This window comes from Homo sapiens, chromosome 10, assembly GCF_000001405.40.
Source record: "Homo sapiens chromosome 10, GRCh38.p14 Primary Assembly".
NCBI classification, from domain to species: Eukaryota; Metazoa; Chordata; class Mammalia; order Primates; family Hominidae; genus Homo; species Homo sapiens.
In genome coordinates, this window is record NC_000010.11 from 26477092 (window position 1) to 26504186 (window position 27095).

The 27095-nt window shown below is 40.7% G+C and overlaps 1 protein-coding gene across 2 annotated transcripts in view, besides 2 other annotated features; it reads left to right on the top strand.

Annotated features, from left to right (window-relative positions):
* The window catches only part of APBB1IP (amyloid beta precursor protein binding family B member 1 interacting protein), a 129463-nt gene that overhangs the window by 38751 nt on the left and 63617 nt on the right, over nt 1–27095 (top strand). For both annotated transcript variants that reach the window (NM_019043.4, XM_011519514.3), the window contains exons 3-6: nt 15236–15307; nt 19213–19300; nt 23728–24020; nt 26106–26183. In NM_019043.4, the coding sequence (NP_061916.3) occupies nt 15236–15307; nt 19213–19300; nt 23728–24020; nt 26106–26183 (531 nt within the window). The remainder of the gene's footprint in view (nt 1–15235; nt 15308–19212; nt 19301–23727; nt 24021–26105; nt 26184–27095) is intronic.
* Nucleotides 10132–10181: an enhancer, noted in NCBI's record as "active region_3168". NCBI's record gives its function as "activates an Ori minimal core promoter by ATAC-STARR-seq in GM12878 lymphoblastoid cells {active_cell/tissue: GM12878}" and the evidence as "EXISTENCE:reporter gene assay evidence [ECO:0000049][PMID:35858748]".
* Nucleotides 12895–13043: a silencer, noted in NCBI's record as "fragment chr10:26778915-26779063 (GRCh37/hg19 assembly coordinates)". NCBI's record gives its function as "represses an EF-1alpha promoter that drives an FKBP-Casp9 reporter gene in an ReSE screen in K562 erythroleukemia cells {active_cell/tissue: K562}" and the evidence as "EXISTENCE:reporter gene assay evidence [ECO:0000049][PMID:32094911]".

A 27095-nucleotide genomic window follows, 5' to 3' on the forward strand; every position in this document is an offset into this window, starting at 1 on the left:
TACCCAGCCCTACTTTTCTTCCCAGACCAGTTACTTTGTTCATTTTGCAGAATATTCCTCAGTTTGGATTTAGCTGATCAATTCATCTTGATTTTGGTAGCAGTATTACAGAGGTGAGGCTGTGTCCTCAGGGGATTGCATCAGTGGGGCACACGATGTCACATGGTCCCATTATTGATAATTCTAAGTTTGATCATTTGGTTAAAGCCATGTCCACCAGATTTTCTCAATTAAAAGTATTTCTTTGATAAGTGTTAAGTAATAGTTTTCATATAGTTTTACTTCTGAGTCTTGTTGTGCATTTTGGGGTCATATTCTCATTTTTTCACCTACCCTGGAGTTTGACTTTGCAGAGTGGAATGATACTTCAAGTGAATACCATGTTCTCCAACCATCTTTCACCTAGTGGTTTATTCATTCATTGTTTATTCTTGCCACCCACCATGGTGGTTGTAGAATTATGTCTTTTGAAAAAATTCTATCATTGTCTCTTCTACTGCTCTCTCTTAAGCTGTTAACCTACTTTGCAATACTTTTGAAGATTTTTCATGACCAAGGTAGGCACTATGCTTAGCAACAAAACACAAAGGCGAATAACACGGCCTCGACTCCTGCCCCTGTGGAGCTTGAGTGAATATACCATGTTTCTAATTTTTTTGAGTCAAGGTCTCACTCTGTCACCTGGGCTTGAATGCAATGTTAGATCACAGTTCACTGCAACCTCAAACTCCTGGGCTCAAGTGATCCTCCCGCCTCAGCCTCTCAAGTAGCTAGGTGCATGCCACCACATCCAACTAACTTTTTAAAATTTTTTGTAGAGACGGGATCATGCTGTGTCGCCCAGGCTGGTAGTTTTTTAAATTTATCCATTTATTTAACAAATAGTCACTCAGAGTCTATCATGTATTTACATTATTCTATTTACTGAGAATCCAACAGTGAACAAAAACAGTCAAATCCCTGCCCTCACCGGGCTTACACCGTAGTTGATGAGCGGGAAGAGAGTATAATTAGAGAAAGCAGAGGTGGTAGAAACAGTTGATTTTGAAATAGGTCAGGGCTCAGTAATGAGGAGACATTAAAGCAAAGACCTAAAGGCAGTGAGAGAACCGCTGTTTGGGTGAGTAGGGAACAGGTGTTCCAGGCAGAGAGAAAAGCATGAGCGAATGCACGCTCACAGGGTTCGAGTTACAGCTGGGAGGCTCATGTGAGCAGAGCACAGAGATAAAATCCAAGGGGCCAGTGAGTGGGGCGGGAGGATGGAGGCGGTTGAGAAGGTAGCTGAATGTGTGAATTAGAAGGAGGCGTTTGGGGCCAGGCATGGTGTCTCATGCCTGTAATCCCAGCACTTTGGGAGGCCAAGGCAGGTGGTTCACTTGAGGTCAGGAGTGGCGCATGCCTGTAATCCAGCTACTCAGCAGTCTGAGGCAGGAGAATCACTTGAACCTGGGAGCTGGAGGTTGCAGTGAGCCAAGATTGTGCCACTGCACTCCAGCCTGGGCAACAGAGCGAGACTCCGTCTCAAAAAAAAAAAAAAAGGAAAAGAAAGAGGCACTTGGGCTGGAGATGTGCTTTGGGGGTTGGCAGCATATGTATGGTATTTAAAGCCCTAAGAGCACCAAGGGAGTGAGTGTAGACCAAGGCTGAAGAGAAATGAGGTCAGGAAGGATGAGGAGGAACCCACAGAGAAGGCTGGAAGGAGAAGCTGGTAAGGTAGATAGGGATGGAGCCAGAATCTCTGGGGCCTGAATCTTACACAATTTTGGGAGGCTCCCTTTTAAAAAGAAGGGATTTTTTTCTACTTGGGGTGGGAGATGAAGTCTCCCTTTAAAAAAATACAAAATTGTCAATGAAAAATTAAGGACAAGAGGGAATATTTATTTAGAGCCAAAAAGGAAATCACAATGAATGACCAATTTTTAAAAATTGACATATATTCACGCCTGTAATCCCAGCACTTTGGGAGGCCGAGGCGGGCGGATCACGAGGTCAGGAGATCGAGGCCATCCCGGCTAAAACGGTGAAACCCCGTCTCTACTAAAAATACAAAAAAATTAGCCGGGCGTAGTGGCGGGCGCCTGTAGTCCCAGCTACTTGGGAGGCTGAGGCAGGAGAATGGCGTGAACCCGGGAGGCGGAGCTTGCAGTGAGCCGAGATCCCGCCACTGCACTCCAGCCTGGGCGACAGAGCGAGACTCCGTCTCAAAAAAAAAAAAAAAAAAAAAAAAAAAAATTGACATATATAACAAACATGTACATGTACCCCTGAACCTAAAATAATTTTTTAAATAAAATAAAGAAAAATATTTAAAATCATGGCTGGGATAGGAGACAGCAATAATTTATAAAGTGTATAATTTATAAAGTGTATTTGTTATTAATCACTAGAGATCACTGAACCCAAAAGGACTTAACTGTGATACTTTACTGTGAAAAAATAGTTTTCACTGCCTAAAATGAAACTCTTTATTTTACAGCATTATTAGAATATGCAAACATTTGAAAAAAAACAATAAAAATAAAAATTGACACGTAAGTGTATATATCTAAAAAGCAACATTGTAATCTTTATGATGATTAAATAACTTGCTGATGTATTTTTGCTACGCTTTTGGCTGCATATTCTTTTACCTTCTCTTCCTATAGGGAATAAATTTGAAATACAATTTTCTGTATAGATGATTTAGTGTCTCCTCCAGCATGGCTGATCAAAATTAATTTTTAGGATTGAGAGTTGAGAAGAAGTTGACTTTTGCTTGACAGCTCTAGATGGTAATGCCTCCTCTGTAACTTCCTCTGTGGTTTCTAGCTCTGGCGGTACTTCTTGCCAGTGAACAAGGCCTCAGAGAAGTGCAGCCTTTGTTCTTACTAACATGGCACCCTGTGGCATCCAAAGGCCCAGGCGACAGCTGGACTGTTTGGCCAGGACCACAGAACCATCAGTTCCCACCACCCTCCCAAATCCTGAGCTGGAGCTGGGGGTGACATAAGGTAGCCAGGAAGCTTGGATCAAGGTGACCCCGGGCAAGGAGCAGAGCAGAGCGTTTCCTTCAGATCTTCTCCTTGGATTGGGACATGAGATCTAATGTCCACGAAATGCATCATGGGAGGGCTTTTGCTGGACTCCAAGTAAAGTGGAGATAGTGCTGGTAGTCGCCTGACCCCACTCCAAGACCTAGGAACCCTGACCCAGGTGACCTCCCAGCAACAGAACAGTGTTGTGTTGTGTGCTGCTGCTGGGGTGCCAGAGGAGACATGTGGCATCAGAAGGGTCCTGCAAGTGAGAAGCCCTGAAATGTAAGCTTCTTTGTTGGCTTCAAGGTACATTGGCCTCTGTGAGGAGGAAAACCAGGAAAGAAAACTGTCAGGAAAGCCAAGTGAAGAAAATATTTCCAGGAGGGAGTGATCAATAATATTAAAGGCTGTATAAGATGCTGACTGGGAACTAACCATTGGATTTCACAACAGAGAGATCATTGGTAATCTCTTCTTTCAAAATAACTTTAATATTGGAATGGTTGAGCTGCTTCTTTTTTTTTTTTTTTTTTTTTTTTTTGGTAAACATGGGATTTCCCCATGTTGCCCAGGCTGGTCTCTAACTCCTGGGCTCAAGTGATCTGCCTACCTCGACCTCCCAAAGTGCTGGGATTACAGGCATGAGCCACCATACACCACAGATTGTTGGTAATCTTGGCACACAGTTTGGTGACATAGTGCAAACAAAAGTCCAGTTGAGATAGATTCATGAGAAAATAAAGACAAGTAGGGGACAGTGAATTGACCTAACTATTCACAGGACTTTTGTTTCTAAAAAGAAATGTTCATGATTTTTATTTATTAATACAACATGATAAACAGAGTATTTTCTATTTGTATCTCTTCAAAAAATTCTAAATTGCATTGTCCCTCTGGTTTTAGGTCACAGTAGGTCCTAAATACAAAAGCAGTTCCCCATTCCTTATATAGACACCCAAAGTAGAAAAAAAAAGGGAACTTAAAATAATCTAGAGACTTGGCACTCTCTTTCCAACCCGTGGGCATCCAAGTGAAACTAGTCTACAACTTGTCTCCCAGAGCTGGAGGCCAGACAGACAGATGGAAGTGGGGATGTTGGGTTCATATGTGCTGACCTCTGTTGTCCTGTGTCAAGTGTTCTTGCACTTGAGTCCTGGGGAACATTTTTGGGTGTTGTTCAGTTCTCTCACTTTTTTCTAACTGAAGCTTGACTTAGCAGAGTGTCCCCACCTTGTCCCACCCACTTATTTCCAAATTGCTTTGATTTTATGCAAAACATAAATTTTTCACTAACTTTATGGTTTGCATAAAATCACAGCAATTTGGAAATAAGCACATTTAAAAATTGTATCTTTTATTTTTTGTTTTGTTATTTTTGTTTTTATTTTTTAATTTTAGAGACAGGGTCACACTTTGTCACTCAGGCTAGAGGGCAGTAGTGCTGTCATAGCTCACTGTAGCCATGAGCTCTTGCGCTCAAAGGATTCTCCCACCTCAGCCTCCTGAGTAGCTGAGACCACAGGTGCGCACCACTATGCCCAGCTAATTTTTTTGGCAGAGGGGATAGAGATGGGGTCTTGCTATATTGCCCAGGCTGGTTTTGAACTCCTGGCCTCAAGTGATCCTCCCACCTCTGCCTCCCAAAGTGCTGAATTTCAGGTGTAACCCACCGCACCTGGCCTAAATCATATTTTTTAAAATGTGGTAGCCCATCTCATTACGTGTGTGTGTGTGTGTGTGTGTGTGTGTGTGTGTGTGTGTGTCTTTACTGCAAAATTCTAAGACTTTTCAAAGCACTCTCTTAGTATTTTTTTAAATTACTGAAATAAATCATTTCATTTAATGATTAGTTTTTTATTTAAAATGTTATTTACAGGTAACTTTTGCCATGACAATATTGCTTACAAAAGGACCCTGTTGTCTTGGCTGTCCCTTCTGTGTGACCCTACCTATGTATATACACATGTCCATATGAATTTTGTTTGTGACTCACTGCATATTAGTCTGAATTGATCATATGACCACAGTCATTGTCCTTTTGATTCAGTAACTACTTGCTAGCCTATTAAGATTTTCACCGATCTCAGGGGTACAGTGCAAAGTTGGTTAAGTTGGCCCAAGAGGTTTCTTCACCTTAGTTCTCTGTTGAGTGAATTATTTGATATAATCCGTAACTTTAGAGATGCTTCTGTTTCCTGTTTTACGCTACACAGAAGCCTCGGCTTCCCCTTTCTCCTCCCTCAAACGTTGCAAGAACCTTTAACCATATGCTGTGTTATTCTGTGAACCACTTCCTCTTGATAAAACGCTTTCATTGCATTTTGAAAAAATACAACACTGAAGGAATCAGGTAAAATTCAATATTCTAAGTTATTTTCAATCACACTGTACACAGGTGACTTCACAGTTTCCACCAGCATTTGCGAGCATCCGAATTCTGTAGTGCGTATTTCATCCTAAGGGCAATCCCATTCATAAGCTTTTTAAAATTTTTTTCTCCTCTTTTGTATCTGTAGTTGTAATATGTCTACTGATTTATTTCCTAGAAAAAAATGTTGCCAGATGGTTTCTAATTAAAAAATAATAAAAATATCAAAGCAAATTGATACTTGGAGAGCCTCAGATTTTTGAAACTTATTTCTCATCAATTCCAGTTCTATTTTAGTTTTGGCAATCTAGTAATAAACTCAAAACACTGTAGGGTAAAAAAACAACAGTCCCTGTAACTCCAGCACTTTGGGAGGCTGAGGCGGGCTGATCACCTGAGGTCAGGTGTTTGAGACCAGCCTGGCCAACATGGTGAAACTCTTTCTCAAGTGAAAAAAAAAAAAAAAAATTAGCTGGTCATGGTGGCCGGTGCCTGTAATCCCAGCTACTTGGGAGGCTGAGGCAGGAGAAACTCTTGAACTGGGAGGTGGAGGTTGCAGTGAGCCGAGATCACACCATTGCACTCCAGCCTGGGCAACAAGAGCAAAACTCCATCTGATAAAAAAAAAAAAAAAAAAAAAAAAGCAGTCAATACTAGGATACAAACATTTTTCTTTAACTGTCTTTAACATAGAAAGATGTACAGTATGCAGATAAATTCATTGAAGAGAAGAAATACAGCTGAGGAAAACCCACACAGAAAAATCTTCCAGAAATTTGTTTAAGCCTCCAATCATGTCTGGGATCAATAAATATTTGATGACTGACTTACTTTGTGTAAACTCGATCGATTTACTTATCTCTGGATGCCTCAGTTTTCTCATCTAAGATGAATATAAAAGTGTTTTCATTTCACCTAGGGTGTGAGGATGGATTTAATCAGTCAATGCACGTAACGCACCAGGACAATCCCTGGCATGGAATGAGAACACCTAATAGTTATTCGCTGTTATTTTTATTATTATCAGGCAGGTAGAGAGCAAGGGGAGATTTCTCTCTCTCTCAACCCCAGCCATGCACAGAAGCAATTGAGTGAGGAGTTTTCTTCTTGGTAGACAGACAGGTAGCAACTTCTCTGGTTAATACTGAAGGCTAATTCTAACCTTCCTGAACTTCATTGACTGTGTCTCATTTTAATAATTGCAAAGTCATTTTTATACCTCCTCTGTTGTTTCATTTTTTTATCATTATTTATTTTGAGTCAGGGTCTTGCTCTTTTGCTCAGGCTGGAGTGCAATAGTGCAATCATGAGTCACTTCAGCCTTGAACTCCTGGGCTCAAAGAATCTTCCTGCCTCGGCCTCCTGAATAGCAGGGACTACAGGCGCATGCCAATATGACTGGCTAATTTTTTTATTTTTTGTAGAGACAGGGTCTTGCTCACAAATATTCTGTTTTGTCTTTTCTTTTCATTCTCAGTGCTCTGAAATTTTCATTCTGTTATTGGTATTAGTATCTTAGTCCAAGTAAAGACTAAGCATAACTAAAAGTACAGCTGAAACGGTGAAATTTGCAACCATTCAAATTAGCTTAGACAACCCGTGAGTTTGTAATATCTTAATACGGTGCTATAAGAAATATAAGAAAGCAGGGTTTTGACAGATAAGCTCCTTATAAAAATGTAAATAATATGAGTTTCTTCATTGTATTGACACTTGCTGCCACCGAAAACATCAACTCTGTAAACCCAAAACTTGATAATCACAAGAAGAGAAAAATCTTAACAAGTTTTTTATTTCATGCAGAAGTTGTTAGGACCACTTGTTTGTTTTGTTTTGTTTTGTTTTGTTTTGAGATGGAGTCTTGCTCTGTCGCCCAGGCTGGAGTGCAGCACGACCTCAGCTCACTGCAAGCTCCGCCTCCCGGGTTCAAGCGATTCTTGTGCCTCAGACTCCCAAGTAGCTGGGATTATAGGTGCGCACCACCACGCCCAGCTACTTTTTTGGTATTTTTAGTAGAGACAGGGTTTCACCATGCTGGCCAGGCTGGTCTCAAACTCCTGACCTCAGGTGATCCACCTGCCTCGGCCTCACAAAGTGCTGGTATTACAGGTGTGAGCCACTGCACCAGGCCTTTTTTGAACTTACATGAAAAATAGTGTATCCTTTTATTTGTTTTCTGTTTTATTAAAAAATTCCTATATAAACAATTGTATTATTACATATTTCACTTAATATATAAAATAGTACACTTTTATGACTAAATCTTTTAGTTTTAAGTGCATCAAATAATCCCTTAATTTAATACCATTCTGCTCAAAATTCAGTTTCTAGCATGAAATTGTAACACATTATTGTTATAACAAAGGGGTACACATGAAATTAGTTATATGATGTGAATTAAGAAATAATTAAGATAGAAAACATAAAGTGTTTTTATTTACTAAATGATGATTAACCTATTACTTGAAATGTTAACTGACTTTAGATTGAATTAGAAAAGAAGAAAAGTCATTGATACTGTCACTCAAGTTGCCTCAAGTTGCATGGTAGTTATCAGAATTTTTCTCAAGGCAACTAAAATTTTTGGTTTGAAAACTGATTCAGGCCTAAATAGATGTGAGCCCCAGTGAAAGTTTTGTTTACCAACAAAACACATCTGTGTGAGTATCAGTATTTACTCACCTGGAAATAGCATTGGAAAAATAAACAGTGTTATAGTGAATGAGGTTCCACAAACCTGTACCTATAGCAGCAGCTTAGAAACAGACTGTTTAACGGCTCTGATAGTTCTCGGAACCATGTTATTTGGCAGTCTCTAAGGACTGCCTGGCCCTGGAATGTGACATTTCTGAGTGTGTCACACCAGGAGCCATGTAGAACATGTAGCCAGTCAAGTGAGAGAGAACTTTCTATGAGGCTTGAGATCTGGACTCTAGCCCAGTTCTTCTCATTAGTCTGGGAAGCTACTTAATCTCTCTGGGTTTCCAACGACGCATTTCTGAACACAAACATCAACAAGATCTGATTCTTACTTAATAACAACTCCCAGTTTTCTAAGAGATTCTATAACGATAACAAAAAGAGTGTGATTCAGTGTGGCAAATGCTGATTGCAAATTCATGCTAAGTATTTTTGGCTATTTTGTTTAGATGTCACAACAAGCCTAAGAATTAGGCATTATTGTTTTCCTTATTTTATAGACAAGGAAACTGAAGTCCAAGGAGATTAAATACCATGTCAAGTTGGTTGTTAAGGCCAGGATTTACTGACATGTTTACCAAGTGCAGTAGATAGCAAATCTCTGCTGGGAATGAAGATACCATTAAAGTGTTAGCATGACAGCTGGATTTTGAATGATCAGTAGGATTTTATGAAGGAGATATGCACAGAGGAGGATATTATTTAAAGGGAATAGCATATACAAAGACAAAAAGAGTTCTAAAAAGCCTGTTCAGAAAACATCAAGGGTCCTGAGGCCAGGCCTGGTGGCTCAAGCCTGTAATCCCAGCATTTTGGGAGGTGGAGGTGCGAGGATCACTTGAGCCCAGGAGTTTGAGACCTGCCTGGGCAACATAGCAAGACCCTGTCTCTGCTAAAAATAAAATAAAATAATGTAAAAAAATATAAATAAATTAAAAAATAAAAGGCCCCGAATGGGACAAATTAGGAAGGACTTTGAAAGACACGCTGAGTGCCTGAACGCTCTCCACTTCATCATAAGCAGCCAGGGAAGATTTTTAAACAGGAGAGTGACACATTCACATTTGTATTTGCAATTTGCAGCAACGGTGGTGGTGAATATTGATGGGGAGTCTGGAAGGCTGGAGGCTGGGTGAGCTGGTGAGGTGTCAACTGTGGCTTGATAGAGAGAATGAAGGCAAGGAGAAGCCTTCTACAGGAAAAGCCAACAGATTCCTCGACCGACTAGATGGAAAAATGGGAGGAGTAAGGGACTATGCCAAGGGTTCTAAGTCAGACTGATATGTGACTAATGGCCTTTTACCAAGTTAAGGCGCATGGGAAGAGAATGCATGAAGGGGAGTAGTGAGTCGGAGCTACTTAGAGGGAAATGCCTGGGGGATGTTGAGCTGGCTGTGTTTAGGCAAGCTACTCTGACCGATGCAATAAAGGCCGCCCTCATCCAGGTCCAAAATTCCAGATTCCATGGCTGGAATTGCTGATCTTCACGGCATCCCAAACTGCATGCAAACTGAGTTAAATGTGTGAGATTAACTCTGCCGTCGATATAAACATATGTCCTGTAAACCATATGCATCACAGTACTTAGGATAAATGTTTAAAAGACATAGTTTTGAAATGTATCCAGGTGGAAAAGAGAAACGATTTAAGGATTGAAAAACTGAAGCCTAGAAATATTAAGCATTAGGGAAAATTTCCTTGTCGTTCAAGGAATCTAAGGGAAAGTTTTAGCCTGGACAAGCGGCTTCAACCACCTCACCCCTCATCTATCCAATAATAACAATAATAATCACAAAATCTAGCTGATTTTGTAGTATTTCCATTTCTTTTTCATCAACAACTTGTGGTTCTTCCCAAGACATAAAATGAACTCAGAAGTGACATACTCACAAAAAGATTCTAACTCCACCCAGTCACGATGTGAGCATGGCTTGTTTGCAATGCATTGCTTCACTGTGATAACTCCACCCCAGCTCTTTCTGGCTGCTAACCCAAATAAGACTTTTAGCTGTCAGGGCTGGGTGTTTTTTTTTTTTTCCTCTCTCTCTCTCTCTCTCTTTTAATCTTTATTTTGACCTTTGGAAAATACCACACGTACATATAGGCACAGCCCTATTTTCTTACGCTTGTGTGTGTGTACACTGTATACATGTGTATAACTCTTGTCTGTCCATTTCAATAATAAGGTTTTCTTGCAGGGAGGTCAATTATGTAATATGACTGAATTTACAGATTAATAATTTTTGTTAACAAACTGCCCTGAAGTCAAATGTCTTTTTATCTTCACCGTGGGTGCAACTGTGATCCATTCACAAGCAAGTTTACTTATGACTGTACGTTTCAGCACAATTTTGATGTTGGCTCCACTTAATAACTCAGTAACAGACTCTGGGGGAAAGGAATGAAAGGGCAGGGGAAAGGGCAGGGGGAAAGATTTTCACCAGATGAATGCAGGGAGAGGTCACGAGAACGCGCTGTTGTTTTGAGTTATTTCCATCTTAGGTGGATGATTCACTGTGGCACGTCATTAACCTGTTATATAGCAGTGGTGTGCACAGCCTGAGAAACGAAGGCCTTTGGGTTCAGTGGGTTTTTCTGACTCATCGATGTCACATTTCCAGACTTTATTTTAGTGCTTTTCCAAATTTAAGGGTTCAGGAGAATGAATCAATGGCAAGATTCTTGTTACTCAAATTATATTTGATTCCTATAAGCTTATTGTAATGCTAGTTGGCAGTTTTGAGGTCAGCAAACAAATCTATATTTATTCTTATAAAATGGATTACTCTCATAAAAAAATCTGAAATGTGTTAACACCAATAATTACTCTTAATAATAATTCATCTGAAGGATTCCTTTATTTTCTCACACTATTGTACTCAGATAGAAAGCAATTCACATGAGCAGTTCTGGAATTTTATTGTTTTTTCCATTAATTTCCCCTTATTAAAATAATAACTTAAAAACCCATGACAAGATTTTTAATACCATATTAGTTGTTTTGGGAGACAATTTGTGAAACCATGGAGATAATATCTACTTAAATACTTTCTGCCATTTTGTAGGAATTTTTTTTTTTTTTGAGAGAGTCTCGCTGTGTCACCCAGGCTGGACTTTGGTGGCACCATCATAGTTCACTGCAGCCTCGACCTCCTGGGCTCAAGCCATCATCCCGTCTCAGCCTCCCAAGTATGTGGGACTACATGCACGTGCCCCCACACCTGGCTAATTTTTTAATTTTTTGTACAGAAGTTTCTCTATGTTGCCCAGGCTGGTTTCAAACTCCTGGCCTCAAGCAATCCTCTCCCCTCGGCCTCCCAAAGTGCTGGGATAACAGGCGTGAGTCACCATGCCCAGCCTTGTAGGAAATTTAAAGAAAGGAGGATATGATTCAGATACTTTGTAAGCAACTGTGTGGGGATAAAACCCCATGGAAATGACTCCTCATGCTGACTTCCCTCATGAACCAGGGGCAGGGCCCACCTGCAGCCATCTTCCTCTCTTCTAGGTGCCATAAACACTTTTTTAATCCCAACAATACACACAAAATAGGACAAGGATCTTCCATCATCCGTCACTGATGCTGTGTTTGATTCCTCTCTGACTTTCCCTGCACACATAGACCTAGACCTTCGGTGTTTTTCTCACCTGTTGCTTCTATACCTGGGTGCTCACCTGCCTGCTTTGTGTGGTCTGACCCTTAGCATTCACTGAGTGGCTTCCTTGGATTCAAACACACACCTCCTTGTCCCATGTGTATGTACACCTGATTCTTTGGGATGCGTCTGCCACTAAGAAATGTGCTAGTTCAATGGAATCTAGACCTCTCTTAACTAAAGACCCCTTCTTGTACCCTCTCAATGCCTCCTGGCCAACACAGTTTTACAACTTCCCATGCTCCTGCAAGACACCTCCTACACTGGACGCCAGATAGGGCAGTAGAGAAAATTAATACATCACATAGCAATTCAAGCATCTGTCCTCCAAAATAAAACATGCAAAACTTAAACCTTGAAATGATGGTGGAATATGCTCAGTGACCTCTAGCTCAGGGTAGTTTTTGTGTTTCTCAAGAGGGAGTGACTAGAAGGACGGCAAAAGAAAAGTCACTGCAGGGAGCAGAACATTCAGATGGAAAATGTTCTCAGTCCTGTTTGGCGAGGGTGATAAGGTTATGTAGGAGAAGAAAATAATTTTTTTCTTCTTAAAATAGGGAGAAGGGGAAATATACGATGGAAAAATTAAGCAAGAAGATTTCATTATGTCAGATTTCCTAAATGATAAACGCAAGATAATTGTTGAAGATAATTTGGGAAGATTAAGTGCTAGCTTTGCAGGGTGGATATTTGGAGGATATGCACTGATTCACGCAAAATGATTTTACAGCCTCATCTGTTCTGATTGCTCAGCGTCAATGCTACCCTGGGTGCTAAATGTTGCTAATATCAACTCTGGCTTATAGAACAGCTCTTGCAAAAGAGTTAGTGCCAGATAAGTATTATTGTTATCACCATCATCATCATTTACATCACTTCACTTTTAAGAATTGTGATATTTTTAAAATCATTTGGCTGGGTGTGATGGCTCACGCCTGTAATCCCAACACTTTGGGAGGCCCAGGTGGGTGGATCACTTGAGGTCAGGAGTTCAAGAACAGCCTGGCCAACATCATGAAACCCCATCTCTACTAAAAATACGAAAATTAGCCAGGCATAGTGGTGGGTGCCCATAATACCAGCTACTCAGGAAGCTGAGGCAGGAGAATTGCTTGAACCCAGGAGGCAGAGTTTGCAGTGAGCTGAGATCAGGCCATTGCACTCCAGCCTGGGAGACAGAGTGAGACTCCATCTCAAAAGAAGAAGAAGAGGAAGAAGAAGATCAATGGAATCATTTTTAAGAAAGCAAAGTTAGTGTGACAAAGCTTATTTCATAGACATATTTAATAAAGAGACTAAGATACCCTGATTAGCTATAGCTATTAAAAATAAAAATATGTGACTGCTAAAATATTAAAGTCACTTAAAGGGTGAACTATAAGTTTTCAAGGTAATTTATTCAAGGAAAGATAGATTTGCCTCCACTTGGCCTATTTCAGCCCAGTAATTTATTTTAAATACACACATGAAGAGATAATAGTATTATGTTTATGATTTAGAAAGTATCTTTATGGGCCAGGCGTGGTGGCTCACACCTGTAATCCCAGCATTTTGGGAAGCAGAGGCGGGCGGATCACCTGAGGTCAGGAGTTTCAGACCACCCTGGCCAACATGGCGAAACCCCGTCTCTACTAAAAATACAAAAATTAACCAGGTGTGGTGGGGCATGCCTGTAATTCCAGCTACTCAGGAGGCTGAGGCACGAGAGTTGCTTTAGCCCAGGAGGCGGAAGTTGCAGTGATGTGAGATTGCACCACTGCACCCCAGCCTGGGCGACAAGAGCAAAACTCCATCTCAAAAAAGAAAAAAAGAAATGGAGTATCTTTATCTTTTAGCACTGCATTCTGAAATATTTATGGAAAAATAATATTTGCTTTAAAATATCTATTGTAGGAAGATATAAATGGAAAAAGATCAGTCCAGTTGAAAATTATTAAAGCTGGACAATGTGTACATGAAAATCATTATTCTCTCTGCTTTTTTATATATTTTTAATTTCCATATAAAAAGAATGAGATACAAATGCATGCATGTACAAATTCAAGTAAATATTGTGATTTGGCTTAAATAATACATACTGATTCCCTACACCCACCAGACTTCTCAGTATGAGCTATAATTGGCATTAATATTACAGTGTTTTAGAGCATTTTGAAATGTCCTTAGAGGCTGAGCAAGATGGCTCAATCTTGTAATCCCAGCACTTTGGGAAGTCGAGGCGAGTGGATCACCTGAGGTCAGGAGTTTGAGACCAGCCTGGCCAACATGATGAAACCTCGTCTCTACTAAAAATACAAAAATTAGCCGGGCATGGTGGCGGGTGCCTGTCATCCCAGCTACTCTGGAGGCTGAGGAAGGAGAATTGCTTTAACCTGAGAGACGGAGGCTGCAGTGAGCTGAGATTGCACCACTCACTCCAGCCTGGGGGACAGAGCAAGACTCCATCTAAAAAAAGAAAAAAAAAGAAAGAAAAGAAAAGAAAGAGAGAAATGCCGTTAGAAATGGTCTGCAGCAAATTCCTCATGTTACAGATGAAACAATTGATTACCTTTGCCAAACTACATAATGCTAGTTAAGTGGCCAAAGGACTAGTAATGTCTCCTAACTTCCCAACTTAGCCTTGCCAAAAATGTCAGGAAACAGAGCAGCCAGTTGCAACTCACAGTGCGTCCCACCCTATTTTGTCGCAAACTTTTCCTCTTCTTGGGCAATTGCTTCATTTGGTTTAGGCAAAGAAAGGTTAAAATGTAAAAAAAGTTTTCTTTCTATCTCTTTTCACTTGGCAGGGCTGCCATTTAAGTTCTAAGGGTTTGTCCACCAGTACTTCTAAATAAATGTACTAAAAACTATTATTTCAGAAATATCTTTTGAAAGCAGGGAATTATTGGGTAAATATGCTTAATCACTCCTCACATCATTTTTGTGTAAGGTTTTTTTTTTTTTTTTTTTGGAGACGGAGTCTCACTCTGTCACCCAGGCTGGAGTGCAGTGGCGCAATCTCGGCTCACTGCAACCTTCACCTCCTGGGTTCAAGCGATTTTCCTGCCTCAGCCTCCCGAGTAGCTGGGACTACAGGCACGTGCCACCACACCCAGGTAATTTTTGTATTTTTAGTAGAGATGGGGTTTCACCATATTGTTCAAGCTGGTCTCAAACTCCTGACCTCAGGTGATCTGCCTGTCTCGGCTTCCCCTAGTGCTGGGATTACAGGCGTGATCCAGCCTGTTTCTTTGGTGCCAAGAAGACTAGTTTAGCCTGGAAAAATTCAACTGTGGCTCTGAGGCATTTCCCAACGTTTGGCACAATCTTGGATCAAGCAGATTGGATAGAAGCCAGGCATGAAATTTCAGGCTAACATAAGCCTTCCTCTCAATATAGTCCTCTCCCAACTTAGCTGCCCATGGATGGGGCTCTTGGGGGAAAGAGAGGGATGCAAAGAGTATCCTAGGATCAGGCTTTTATGAGACTGCTAATATCTCAGTTTCTTCCTTTTTCAGATGGGTGAGTCAAGTGAAGACATAGACCAAATGTTCAGCACTTTGCTGGGAGAGATGGATCTTCTGACTCAGGTAAACTTCCCTTTTTAACTGGCAAATTGGAAAACAAAAATAGAGTTGCAGAATTTCATTGTAATATGACAAGGGAGCTGTCTTTTTTAAAACCCTGATATCGGGGGAACCAGCCCCCGATATTTCAATGTAGGTTCTTTTCTATTTTCCCTAAGTGACGGCGGGTCTGAGAAATAAAGGGAAGAGTACAAAAGAGAGAAATTTTAAAGCTGGGTGTCCAGGGGAGGCATCACATGTCGGCAGGTTCCATGATACCCCCAAGCCATAAAACCAGCAAGTTTTTATTAGCAATTTTCAAAGATGAGGGAGTGTATGAATAGGGTGTGGGTCACAGAGATCACATGCTTCAAGGGCAACAAAATATCACAAGGCAAATGGGCAGGGCAAGGTCACAAGGTCAGGGAGAAACTAGAATTATTAATGAAGTTCCATGCCCCGCTGTGCACGCATTGTCATTGGTAAACATCTTAACAGGGTTCAAGAGCAGAGAACCAGTCTGACTAGAATTCGCCAGGCTGGAATTTCCTAATCCTAGCAACCCTGGGGGCGCTGCAGGAGGCCAGGGCATGTTTCATCCGTTATCTTCAACTGCATAAGGCAGACACCCCCAGAGCGGCCATTTTAGAGGCCCCCCCGGGAATGCATTCTTTTCCCAGGGCTATTAATTATTAATATTCCTTACTGGGGAAAGAATTCAGTGATATTTCTCTTACCCGTTTTCGGTAATAAGAGAAATATGGCTCTGTCCTGCCCGGCTCCCAGGCAGTCAGACCTAATGGTTATCTCCCTTGTTCCCTGAACATCACTGTAATCCTGTTCTTTTTTCAAGGTGCCCAGATTTCATATTGTTTAAACACACATGATTTACGAACAATTTGTGCAGTTAACGCAATCATCACAGGGTCCTAAGGCGACATACATCTTTAGCTTATGAAGATGACAGGATTAAAAGATTAAAGACAGGCAGGGAAATCACAAGAGTATTGATTGGGGAAATGATAAATGTCCATGAAATCTTCACAATTTATGTTCAGAGATTGCAGTAAAGACAGGCGTAAGAAATTATAAAAGTATTAATTTGGGGAACTAATAAACGTCCATGAAATCTTCGCAATTTAAGTTCTTCTGCCATGGCTTCAGCCGGTCCCTCCATTCGGGGTCCCTGACTTCCCGCAACACCCTGAAGATTGGCAACATTATATAGTTCTGATATAATTGTGACAATGATGGGTTAAAGAAAAAGCTTGTTCCTGACTATATTCTTTTGAGTTCAGTTAATTTAATACATTGATTAGACATACATCAAGCTCATAGTATCCAAATATTTACCAATAGAGAAATTTACCCCCAAGTTTACTATCCTACAACCACCAGCGCTGAGCCATTTCCCTGTGGTTACTTCTATAAAGACTCACTAATAAAGTATTATCTTTGTTTGATTTTGGGGTTTTCTTGAGAGACAGAGTCTCACTGTGTTGCTTAGGCTGGAGTGCAGTGGCACAATCACGGTTCACTGCAGCCTCAACCTCTTGGGCTCAAGTGATCCTCTGGCCTCAGCCTCCCAAGTAGCAGGGACTACAGGTGCACGCCACCACACCCAGCTAATTTTTTTTTTCTTTTATAGAGACGAGATCTCACTATGTTGCCCAGGCTGGATATCATCTTTAGTAAAGACTTTTTACCAACCCTTGAGGAAATGCTACATTTTAAAGAACTAAGTGGGAGTTATGGTGACCTTGTGATTAAACTGTAAGAACTCAGTACCCTCAAAGGAATGTGAAAACCACTCAACCATAGACTGAGAAAAAAGCCCCTGGCATCAAGATCAGATTGACTCAGAGGTCACTGAGCCCCACTGTCAGCGCCACTACAGCCTGGCAGCTGTAGGGCCAGGGGCCCTAAGTGGCAGGGGCCACTAAGCCAGGTTACAGTCAGGTGGGCTTTAGAATGTCTTAGAGTGTGCTCATAAATGAGCCTTTGACTAATAAGTTAATCAGCTCATCACTTTTCTGCATAAAATATCAAAAGAAGAATAAGCCAATATTCCTAAATAAGATAAGGATCTTCAAAAGCTTTCTAAAAAAAATAAATGAATAGACTGTGTTTTGAAAGACTTATTTATTTTAGGAAAAAATAAACCAATTCTAGACCGGGCACAGTGGCTCACACCTGTAATGCCAGCACTTTGGGAGGCCGAGGTGAGTGGATCACAGGTCAGGAGTTCGAGACCACGCTGGCCAATATGGTGAAACCCCATCTTTACTAAAAATACAAAAATTAGCCGAGCGTGGTGGTGGGTGCTTGTAATCCCAGCTACTCAGGATGCTGAGGCAGGAGAATCATTTGAACCCAGGAGGCAGAGATTATGGTGAGCTGAGATTGTGCCATTGCACTCCAGCCTGGGCAACAGAGTGAGACTCCATCTCAATAAAAACAAAAATAAAAAATAAACCAATTCTAGTTAGCATCTACTTTATATTCCCAATAAGAGTCAGAAAAGTTTAGATTCTATGAAAGAAGGGATAAGATACAAGACAGTTGGCTTAGAGGAAGGGGTGCTGGTTAAAAGGTGTTAGGATGGCAACCATATTTCTTTCTTTCTTTCTTTCTTTTTCTTTTTTTTTTTTTGAGATAGAGTCTCACTCTGTCACCAGGCTGGAGTGCAGTGGCAAGATCTTGGCTCACTGCAAGCTCCGCCTCCCAGGTTCAAGCGATTCTCCTGCCTCAGCCTCCCGAGTAGCTGGGATTACAGGTGTGCACCACCACACCCAGCTAATTTTTGTATTTTTAATAGAGACGGGGTTTCACCATGTTGGCCCACATGGTCTCTATCTCCTGATGTTGTGATCTGCCTGCCTCAGCCTCCCAAAGTGCTGGGATTACAGGTGTGAGCCAATGGCAACCACATTTCTTAAGATGAGGACTGTGTTTTCTCCTCCTATGGTGGAGGAGAGTTTAAGTGAACGTGTGTGGTCTCTCTGTACCTCATTCCTGCAGCCAGTGGGGGAAGTGTTCTGATGGGTCAGAGTCTGGGATTTTTGCAGGACCACATTTAAGTATTGTTACTGTAAGGCAAGAACAGGAAAGAAGCTGGGCATGATGGCTCACACCTGTAATCCCAGCACTTTAGGAGGCCAAGACAGGAGGCTCACATGAGCCCAGGAGTTCAAGACCAGCCTGGGCAGCATAGTAAGACCCCCGTCTCATTTTTGTTAAAAAAAAAAAAAAGAATAGGAAAGAGGCCCCTTTTAGTCTCTTGGACCTGCCTTCACACAAAGCCCTTTTGGTTTTTGCTATTTCTTTGTTGTGGCCAAGTGGATGTACTCATAGGTTTGCTTGGCTAAACAGCCCTGCCAACAGGTAGGTTCTCAAGATTGTAGGCTAAGGAAAAATTTTACTACGACAGACTGCATCCTCAAACAGCTTTTCTTCTCCAAGTAACTGGAGATTTCTTTATTTGATGTAATGACTTAAGTCATTACAGAATTTTATATATATATATTTATATAAATATATATTTTATATAATATATATTTAATATATATAAAATATATTTTATATATATTTAATATATATAAATATAATATATATATTATATATATATAGTGTGTGTGTTCACCATTACAAGAAATTATGTGTTCTTTATAAAAATTAACTACCTCATTATCATTGCTCTCAATTGACGTGGTCTGTTTCAAGATCTTCCTTCTAGAATAATTTTTAAGCTGTAATTTTCTATAGGGGAAAAATTACATAAAACATTTTCAAGTTACCATATGGTTTTCAGAGAACACACTAAGGGAGAAAATGTGTAAATGATACATGGTTTTTGACTTGCTGAGTAAAGTGTGCTACAGAAATGTTTGTATCATGAATAACTTTGATGGGGGGATCTTTTTTCACAGAGTTTAGGAGTTGACACTCTCCCTCCTCCTGACCCTAATCCACCCAGAGCTGAATTTAACTACAGTGTGGGGTTTAAAGATTTAAATGGTAAGCATAACAATTTCTTTTCTTAAGTAATTCAAAATCATAATGATGATTCAAATCAGTATGAAACTATAATTTGAAAACTAAATTAAAGGAACCTAAACATCATGATAAATATTGTTAAAATCATGGATTTCAGACTGGGTTTTACTGTGTCTAGATTGAATTGAGAGAGTCAAGAAGACATTTTCACCAATAATGAAAGGGAACACCATTCTGCATTTGTGAAAAGTCTCGAAATGATCTCGTGTTTTAAAGTAAGGGGAGTTTCTTCTTATTACTGAGCCCATAGAGTAACAAGGGGTAGTATACAAAAATATTAGTAAGGAAATGTCCCTTCAGTGATAGAAATCAACTATTTCATAATGATTAATAAATATGAATAGATACTTCATAATATTTTATTTAAAATATTTTTTAATTTATATATAATATATACTTATATGTAATTTAGTCTACTTGACATTTTTTCATTTTTCCTGAACTTGTCACTTTATTTTATTACCAAAAATCTCTCAGCCATGCATGATGGCTCACACCTGTGATCCCAGCACTTTAGGAGGCCAAGGCAAGAGGATTGCTTGAGCTCAGGAGTTTGAAACCAGCCTGGACAACATGGCAAGACCCCATCTCTACAAAAAGTAAAAAATAAAAAAATTAGCCAAGCGTGGTGGCATGTGCCTGTGGTCTCAGCTACTTGGGAGGCTGAGGCAGGAAGATCAAGGCTGCACTGAGCTGTGTTTCTGCCACTGCACTCCACCCTGGGCAACAGAGTGAGATTCTATCTCAAGAAAATAAAAAACAAAACAAAACAAAAACTCTGTTTATTTAAATGGAGACATCTTTAGGCCACGTGCTATTCATATTATAATAAGTCTTGAGGCCAGGCGCAGTGGCTCACGCCTGAAATTCCAACACTTTGGGAGGCCGAGGTGGGCAGATCACAAGGTCAGGAGATCGAGACCATCCTGGCTAACACGGTGAAACCCCATCTCTACTAAAAATACAAAAAATTAGCCCGGTGTGGTGGCAGGTGCCTGTAGTCCCAGGTACCTGGGAGGCTGAGGCAGGAGAATGGTGTGAACCCAGGAGGCGGAGCTTGCAGTGAGCTGAGATCGCGCCACTGCACTCCAACCTGGGCGGCAGAGCGAGACTCTGCCTCAAAAAAAAAAAGTCTTGAAACAATCACTTTCAAATTAGTGAGAACTCCCTGCAACTCTGGAAAAAGATTTCCCAAAGACTTGCTGTGCCTACCAAAAATGTGAAAAGCAAAATAGGAGAAAAGTTCAATTACAGAAATCCAGAATTCCAAGTTTTATTTCTGTCCTCTGGATTTTTTTTTTTTTTTTTTTTTTTCAGGCAGAGTCTCTCTCTGTCACCTAGGCTGGAGTGCAGTGGCGGGATCTCTGCTCACTGCAACCTCTGCCCCCTGGGTTCAAGCGATTCTCCTGCCTCAGCCTCCCGAGTAGCTGGGACTACAGGCATGCGCCATCATGACTGGCTAATTTTTGTATTTTTAGTAGAGACGGGGTTTTGCCATGTTGGCTAGGCTGGTCTCGAACTCCAGACCTCAGGTGATCCAACTGTTTCAGCCTCCCAAAGTGCTGGAATTACAGGTGTGAGCCATGGCACCCGACCAGGATTTCTTTGTTTCTATCATTTCTAGTAGTTTTGTAGTAAACCATTAAGTGCCAGTGACTCTTTCTTGATAAATTATAATATACATCTTGCGATTTTCTCTTTTTCCTACACTTTTTTTATTTGCCACATAAATTTATTATTCCTGCCAGTCATTTCCATTAAGATGGTAACATTCATGAAGTTTTTTTACAAAAGCAGGCCAGGCGTGGTGGCTCTTGCCTATAATCCCAGCACTTTGGGAGGCCGACGCTGGTGGATCACTTGAGGTCAGAATTTCAAGACCAGCCTGGCCAACATGATGAAACCCCATCTCTACTAAAAATACAAAACTTATCCAGGCAAGGTGGCGGGCACCTGTAATCTCAGCTACTCGGGAGGCTGAGGGACGAAAATCACTGGAAACCAGAAGGCGGAGGTTGCAGTGAGCCAAGATCATGCCACTGCACTTCAGCCTGGATGACAGAGCAAGACTCTGTCAAATAAATAAATAAATGCTATACACTTTAGTAAAATTATGATGGCAATAGATAACATATACTTGCACATATGAAAAAAGCAAATTTAGCCTCACCAATTCATAACAGCCACATGCTTTATAATCAGTTCAATTAAAGTTAAAATTTAATCAATATTTCAACTTAATTGTAGTCATCTCAACTAACGCTTTCTAAGCACTAACTCAGTGCCTGGTATCACAGTACTGACAATGATAGGAGCAATGATACCCAGCAAGATATAAACATAGTGATATTACACTACAGTAATAAGACACTCTTCTCATTAAGGAATCAAGATATACACATGTGGCCTAATTTGGATACAGGACAAGACATTTAAAAACTACTGCTACGTATGGAAAATTAAATTTGTATGGAATTAGATTAAGAATAGATTTGTTTTGTCTTCCCTTTAAAACACTGCTAAAACAAGTTCAAAATATTTTGCCCAGGCTGGGTGCGAGCCTGTAATCATGCTTGTAATTCCACCACTTTGGGAGGCCAAGGCAGGAGGATCACTTAATCCCAGGAGTTTGAGACAAGTCTGGGCAACATAATGAGACCACTGTCTCTACAAAAAAATTAAAAAATTAGCCAGGCATGCTCGTATGTGCCTGTAGTCCCAGCTACTCGGGAGGCTGAGGTGGGAGGATTGCTTGAACCCATGAGGTCGAGGCTACAGTGAGCTATGATCCTACCACTGCACTCCAGCCTGGGCAACAGAGGTTGCAATGAGCCGAGATCATGCTGCTGCACTCCAGCCTAGGTGACAAAGCGAAACTCTGTCTCAAAAAAAAAAAGAAAAGAAATTATATATAAAAAAGGCTTACAGTAAAATAAACTGTTTTTACACGTTTAGGAAACCCAAACTTTAGTCCAAGTACTGTAAACTAGCACTATTAGCATTACTGGAATATGCTGTGTGACATTTATGATGATGATGTCTGACAAAGCTTATTTGTTACTGAGTAGGCTTTATTCCAGCTGCTCCCATTTCCTCAGTCTGTTTCATCATATCTATAGCAGCTAGAATTCTCCTCATGGATCACTTCCTTCCTGTCTGTCCATCCTTTGTTCATTACATTCACTATATAATGTATGCCTGATCATCAAAGTACTCCACCAAGACTACTCACCAACACCACCCCAACTACACCACATGATCTAATCAACATTCAGGATCACACATCTGCTCTACCATAGTAATCTCACACCTGGAAGAAATCCTAAGGAGATCTCTCCTCCCTCCCTCTCACTCTGAAAATTTATGTCTTTCCTTTCTTTTAAAAGTTAACTCCCAGCTTACTGTCTTCATTAAGTTTCTACCATTTAATCCCATAATTTTTTAACTCCTTGCCACCTATGGTGTTTTAATTTCTGCTATTTATCATTAATGGCTCTTGGCTGGGCACAGTGGCTCATGCCTCTAATCCCAGCACTTTGGGAGGCTGAGGTGGGAAGATTACTTGAGTCCAGGAGTTTGAGACCAGTCTGGGCAACATGACAAAACCCTGTCTCTACACAAAATACAAAAATTAGCTGGACGTAGTGGCATGCACCTGTAGTCCCAGCTGCTTGGGAGGCTGAGTTGGGAGGATTGCTTGAGCCTGGGAGGCAGAGATTGTAGTGAGCCAAGATCTCACTATGGCACTCCAGCCTGGGCAATAGATTAAGACTCTGTCTCAAAAAAAAAAAAAAAAGAAAGAAAGAAAAAAGAAAAGAAAAAATTGCTCTCTCTCTGAATATGAAGTTTTCTACAGTTAGGTGGTGAGGCTATAGAAGCTCCGTCTTCACCCCAAAGTCACAGGCACATTAAATCCCCATTGGTTGAAATCCAATTTCTTCTAAATAGCAGCAGTACTCTCTTTGCCCTCCAAATGCTTAGGGAAAACTCCCCTTCCATCCATTTCCAATGCTCCCCCCTCTGCTACTTTTCTAAAACTCTAAGATGTTACATTATAGGATTTCCTACTTAGGCATCTATTCGTGTGCTTGGATTTGACTTTATAGCTGGTATGTCAGGTGCCCCAGTGTAGAGAACACATTTCCCCCAATATTTTTTCTTGGTGTTAGAAACTCAGTCGGATTAACCATGCAACAAATGCAGCAACAGTTCTTTTAGGAATTCCTACGCTTGTGCTATTGAATTAAAATATTCTCAATCTTCTCATATCATAACCAATCAAGATAATGATTCCTTTCTACTCAAATATTATGCTTAAAAATTATCTTCTTTCAGTTTTTCCAGATGCAAATAGGTTTTTATACCATTAATGTGATTTTCCCTACTAGAGTCCTTAAATGCACTGGAAGACCAAGATTTAGATGCTCTCATGGCAGATCTGGTAGCAGACATAAGTGAGGCTGAGCAGAGGACAATCCAGGCACAGAAAGAGTCCTTGCAGAATCAACATCATTCAGCATCTCTACAAGCATCAATTTTCAGTGGTGCAGCCTCTCTTGGTTATGGAACAAATGTTGCTGCCACTGGTATCAGCCAATATGAGGATGACTTACCACCTCCACCAGCCGATCCTGTGTTAGACCTTCCACTGCCACCACCACCTCCTGAACCTCTCTCTCAGGTAAGTATGTGGGACCAGAGATGGCAGGACCATCAACCTCTGCTACCTATCACTGATGTTCCTTGAAGTGATCATTACATTCCTAAGTTGGTACATCCAAAGATCTGAGATACTAAAAAACAAAGATACAGAGCACGCTCATTGCAAAGCTAGAACCCTCCGTAAGCAAGCCACATGGGTGTGTATCAAGAATGTATTAGGGCCATATTCAGGATTTACTGTAGTTTGCTTAAAAAATATTTGTATGCAAAAACTATTTGATAAAACTCAATCTTTTGGGGGAAATGTTTTATTAACATCATATTGAAATGTGGAACTGATTATATATTTCCATGTCCCTGTTCTTAGCTCAGTACATAGAGAATAGAAGGCATTCATTATACATTTTCTGAGTAGAGTGAAATTGAATTTTGTTGAACTTGGCAGCCCTGTTCAGTAGGACAGGTACATCCAAGTATCACTTGTAATGTCATAGTTGGGGAGGGTGTTACAAAGCAGGCAGATGATGGGTGCTTGATATTGATAAATTTCTGAATATTGAAAAACAGACAACTGGAAAGTTTAAATGATCATTATTTGGGATGTTAACTCATAGTATGTCTCTCATAAAAGTAAAAAGAGCACTTTTAAGGATTTTCTTTTTAGAGTAAGCCAAATATTTTAGAGGAGAGTCCAGTTCAATTTCCTGTGGCTTCTACAATGGTCACACTGTGTCATGATGTTTGGTACTCACAAATAAGACCCTAGGGACCCCGAAAGGTCATACAATGCCTTTTGAATGAACAAATATTGAATATAAATCAAATATTAAATTATACTCTATCACACACAGTGCTCTATTGTGTACTTATTATAGAAAATTTATGTGAAAATGGAGATCGATATAGAACAGAGACTCTTAATGTATGGTCCATGAAGATTTCGAGGGGGCCATGCACCCGCTGAAAGTAAACAAAGTACAAAGTTGAATGGACTTGTGAAGCTTTATGGGCTTTCTTAAAGGGGCTTGTGGCTCAAAAACAATTTGAGAACCACTGCTATAAAAAGATACATGCCTATATTCAAGTAATTAGAATGTAACCAGAACAGCTCATTTCCTCAACATTATAAATAGAAGAGATACTTAACTTGCAAAAATCAAAGAGCTTTGGGCTCATAAAATACTTCACTCACTTTTCAGCCTGTTCATATGAGCTTGTCAGTGCTTTTGTTTTTTGGTGAATTGTAAGTTTAAATTTCAGTCTCTTGGGCCAGGCGTGGTGGCTCACGCCTGTAATCCCAGTACTTTGGGAGGCCGAGGTGGACGGGTCATGAGGTCAGGAGATGGAGACAATCCAGGCTAACACCGTGAAACTCCATCTCTACTACAAATACAAAAAAATTAGCCAGGCATGGTGGCAGGCGCCTGTAGTCCCAGCTACTCAGGAGGCTGAGGCAGGAGAATGGGGTGAACCCAGGAGGCGGAGCTTGTAGTGAGCCAAGATCACACTACTGCACTCCAGCCTGGGCAACAGAGTGAGACTCCATCTCAAAAAAAAAAAAAAAATCAGTCTCTCTTAACCTTTGGGGGCATTAAGAACCCCTTTAAGAATCTAATAAAAAATTGGAAATCCCCAAAAAGACATCCTGATCCAAAAGTATGCATATAATTTCAGGGAATGTTCAAATCCCTGGAGATGTGTCAATCTATAGATTCCTTAGGTCGGATCCCAGTTTGTGAGCCAAGCGGATTTTTCTGGTCTAAATATACGAACCACTGTTAAAGTCATCATTTCATCTTTTAAGTTACCATTCCCAAGCTATAAAGAGTGACTGCCTTCTATATCTTTGAGTTGAAGAATTTTGTTATAGTCATCTAAATTCTGAAAATTGAACGTTTCAGGTAATGGATACCCCATTTATCCAGATGTAATTATTACACTTTGTATGCCTTTAAAAAGTAATTAATAAATTCTGAAAATCAAGCATGTGAAATTTGGTACCTTTTGTTAATACAACGTAGCTGAGACACTAGCAATGACAGAAGTGATTACTCACTGGTATTACTTAATGGACTGTATTGAAGAATATCTTGCCCTTTTCCAGGAAGAGGAAGAAGCCCAAGCCAAGGCTGATAAAATTAAGCTGGCGCTGGAAAAACTGAAGGAGGCCAAGGTTAAGAAGGTGAATCATGAATCCCTTTTGCATGGGGGCAGTTCAATTAAGGACCTGTGATTATGCTTAATGATAAAAAACAAAATAAAGCCGGGCGCGGTGGCTCACACCTGTAATCCCAGCACTTTGGGAGGACAAGGTGGGTGGATCATGAGGTCAGGAGATCGAGACCATCCTGGCTAACATGGCAAAACCCCGTCTCTACTAAAAATGCAAAAAATTAGCTGGGCGTGGTGGCAGGTGCCTGTAGTCCCAGCTACTCGGGAGGCTGAGGAAGGAGAATTGCTTGAACCCAGGAGGTGGAGGTTGCAGTGAGCTGAGATCGAGCCACTGCACTCCAGCCTGGGAGACAGAGTGAGATTCCATCTCAAAAACAAGAAAAAAAGAAAAAAAGAAAGAAAATGTTGTGTGATACTTTCCAAATAGTTGTAATTTTCAAAAACTTTTAAGGACAAAGATAAGAGTACACAATTGTTCTTTCTATAACATCAGTTAGCTCACTTGTGATTGATAAATAAGGGACTTGTGTTAATATAAATGTAGAGGTTTCCTTGGCTTGTACATGATTTTTTTTGCTGGCTTATACATGAATTTTCCTGGGAGCTGGAATGATGGGAGTAGAATTATACCTTCAACAAGAAAGGAAAGGGCCTTTGGCTTGGGTGCTGTACAGGCAGGGGCCCTTTCAGCTCTATCTTAAGACATTTTAAAACAAGTTTGCACATCCAGGGCTCCCTTCCTTTGAGCTGCCCTCTCCAGGACTTTGCAAAATTCTTGGTTGATAGCAGGTGGCGCCACCTTTGGGGAATGCCTAACTGGGTCAGAGCTCAGCTTCTGTCGGCCTGGCCTCTGCTTTTCCTCAATTGCTCTTGTCTACTTTTCCTATGCCCTGGGGCAGCCGTCAGCCCTGCTGCTGACCTA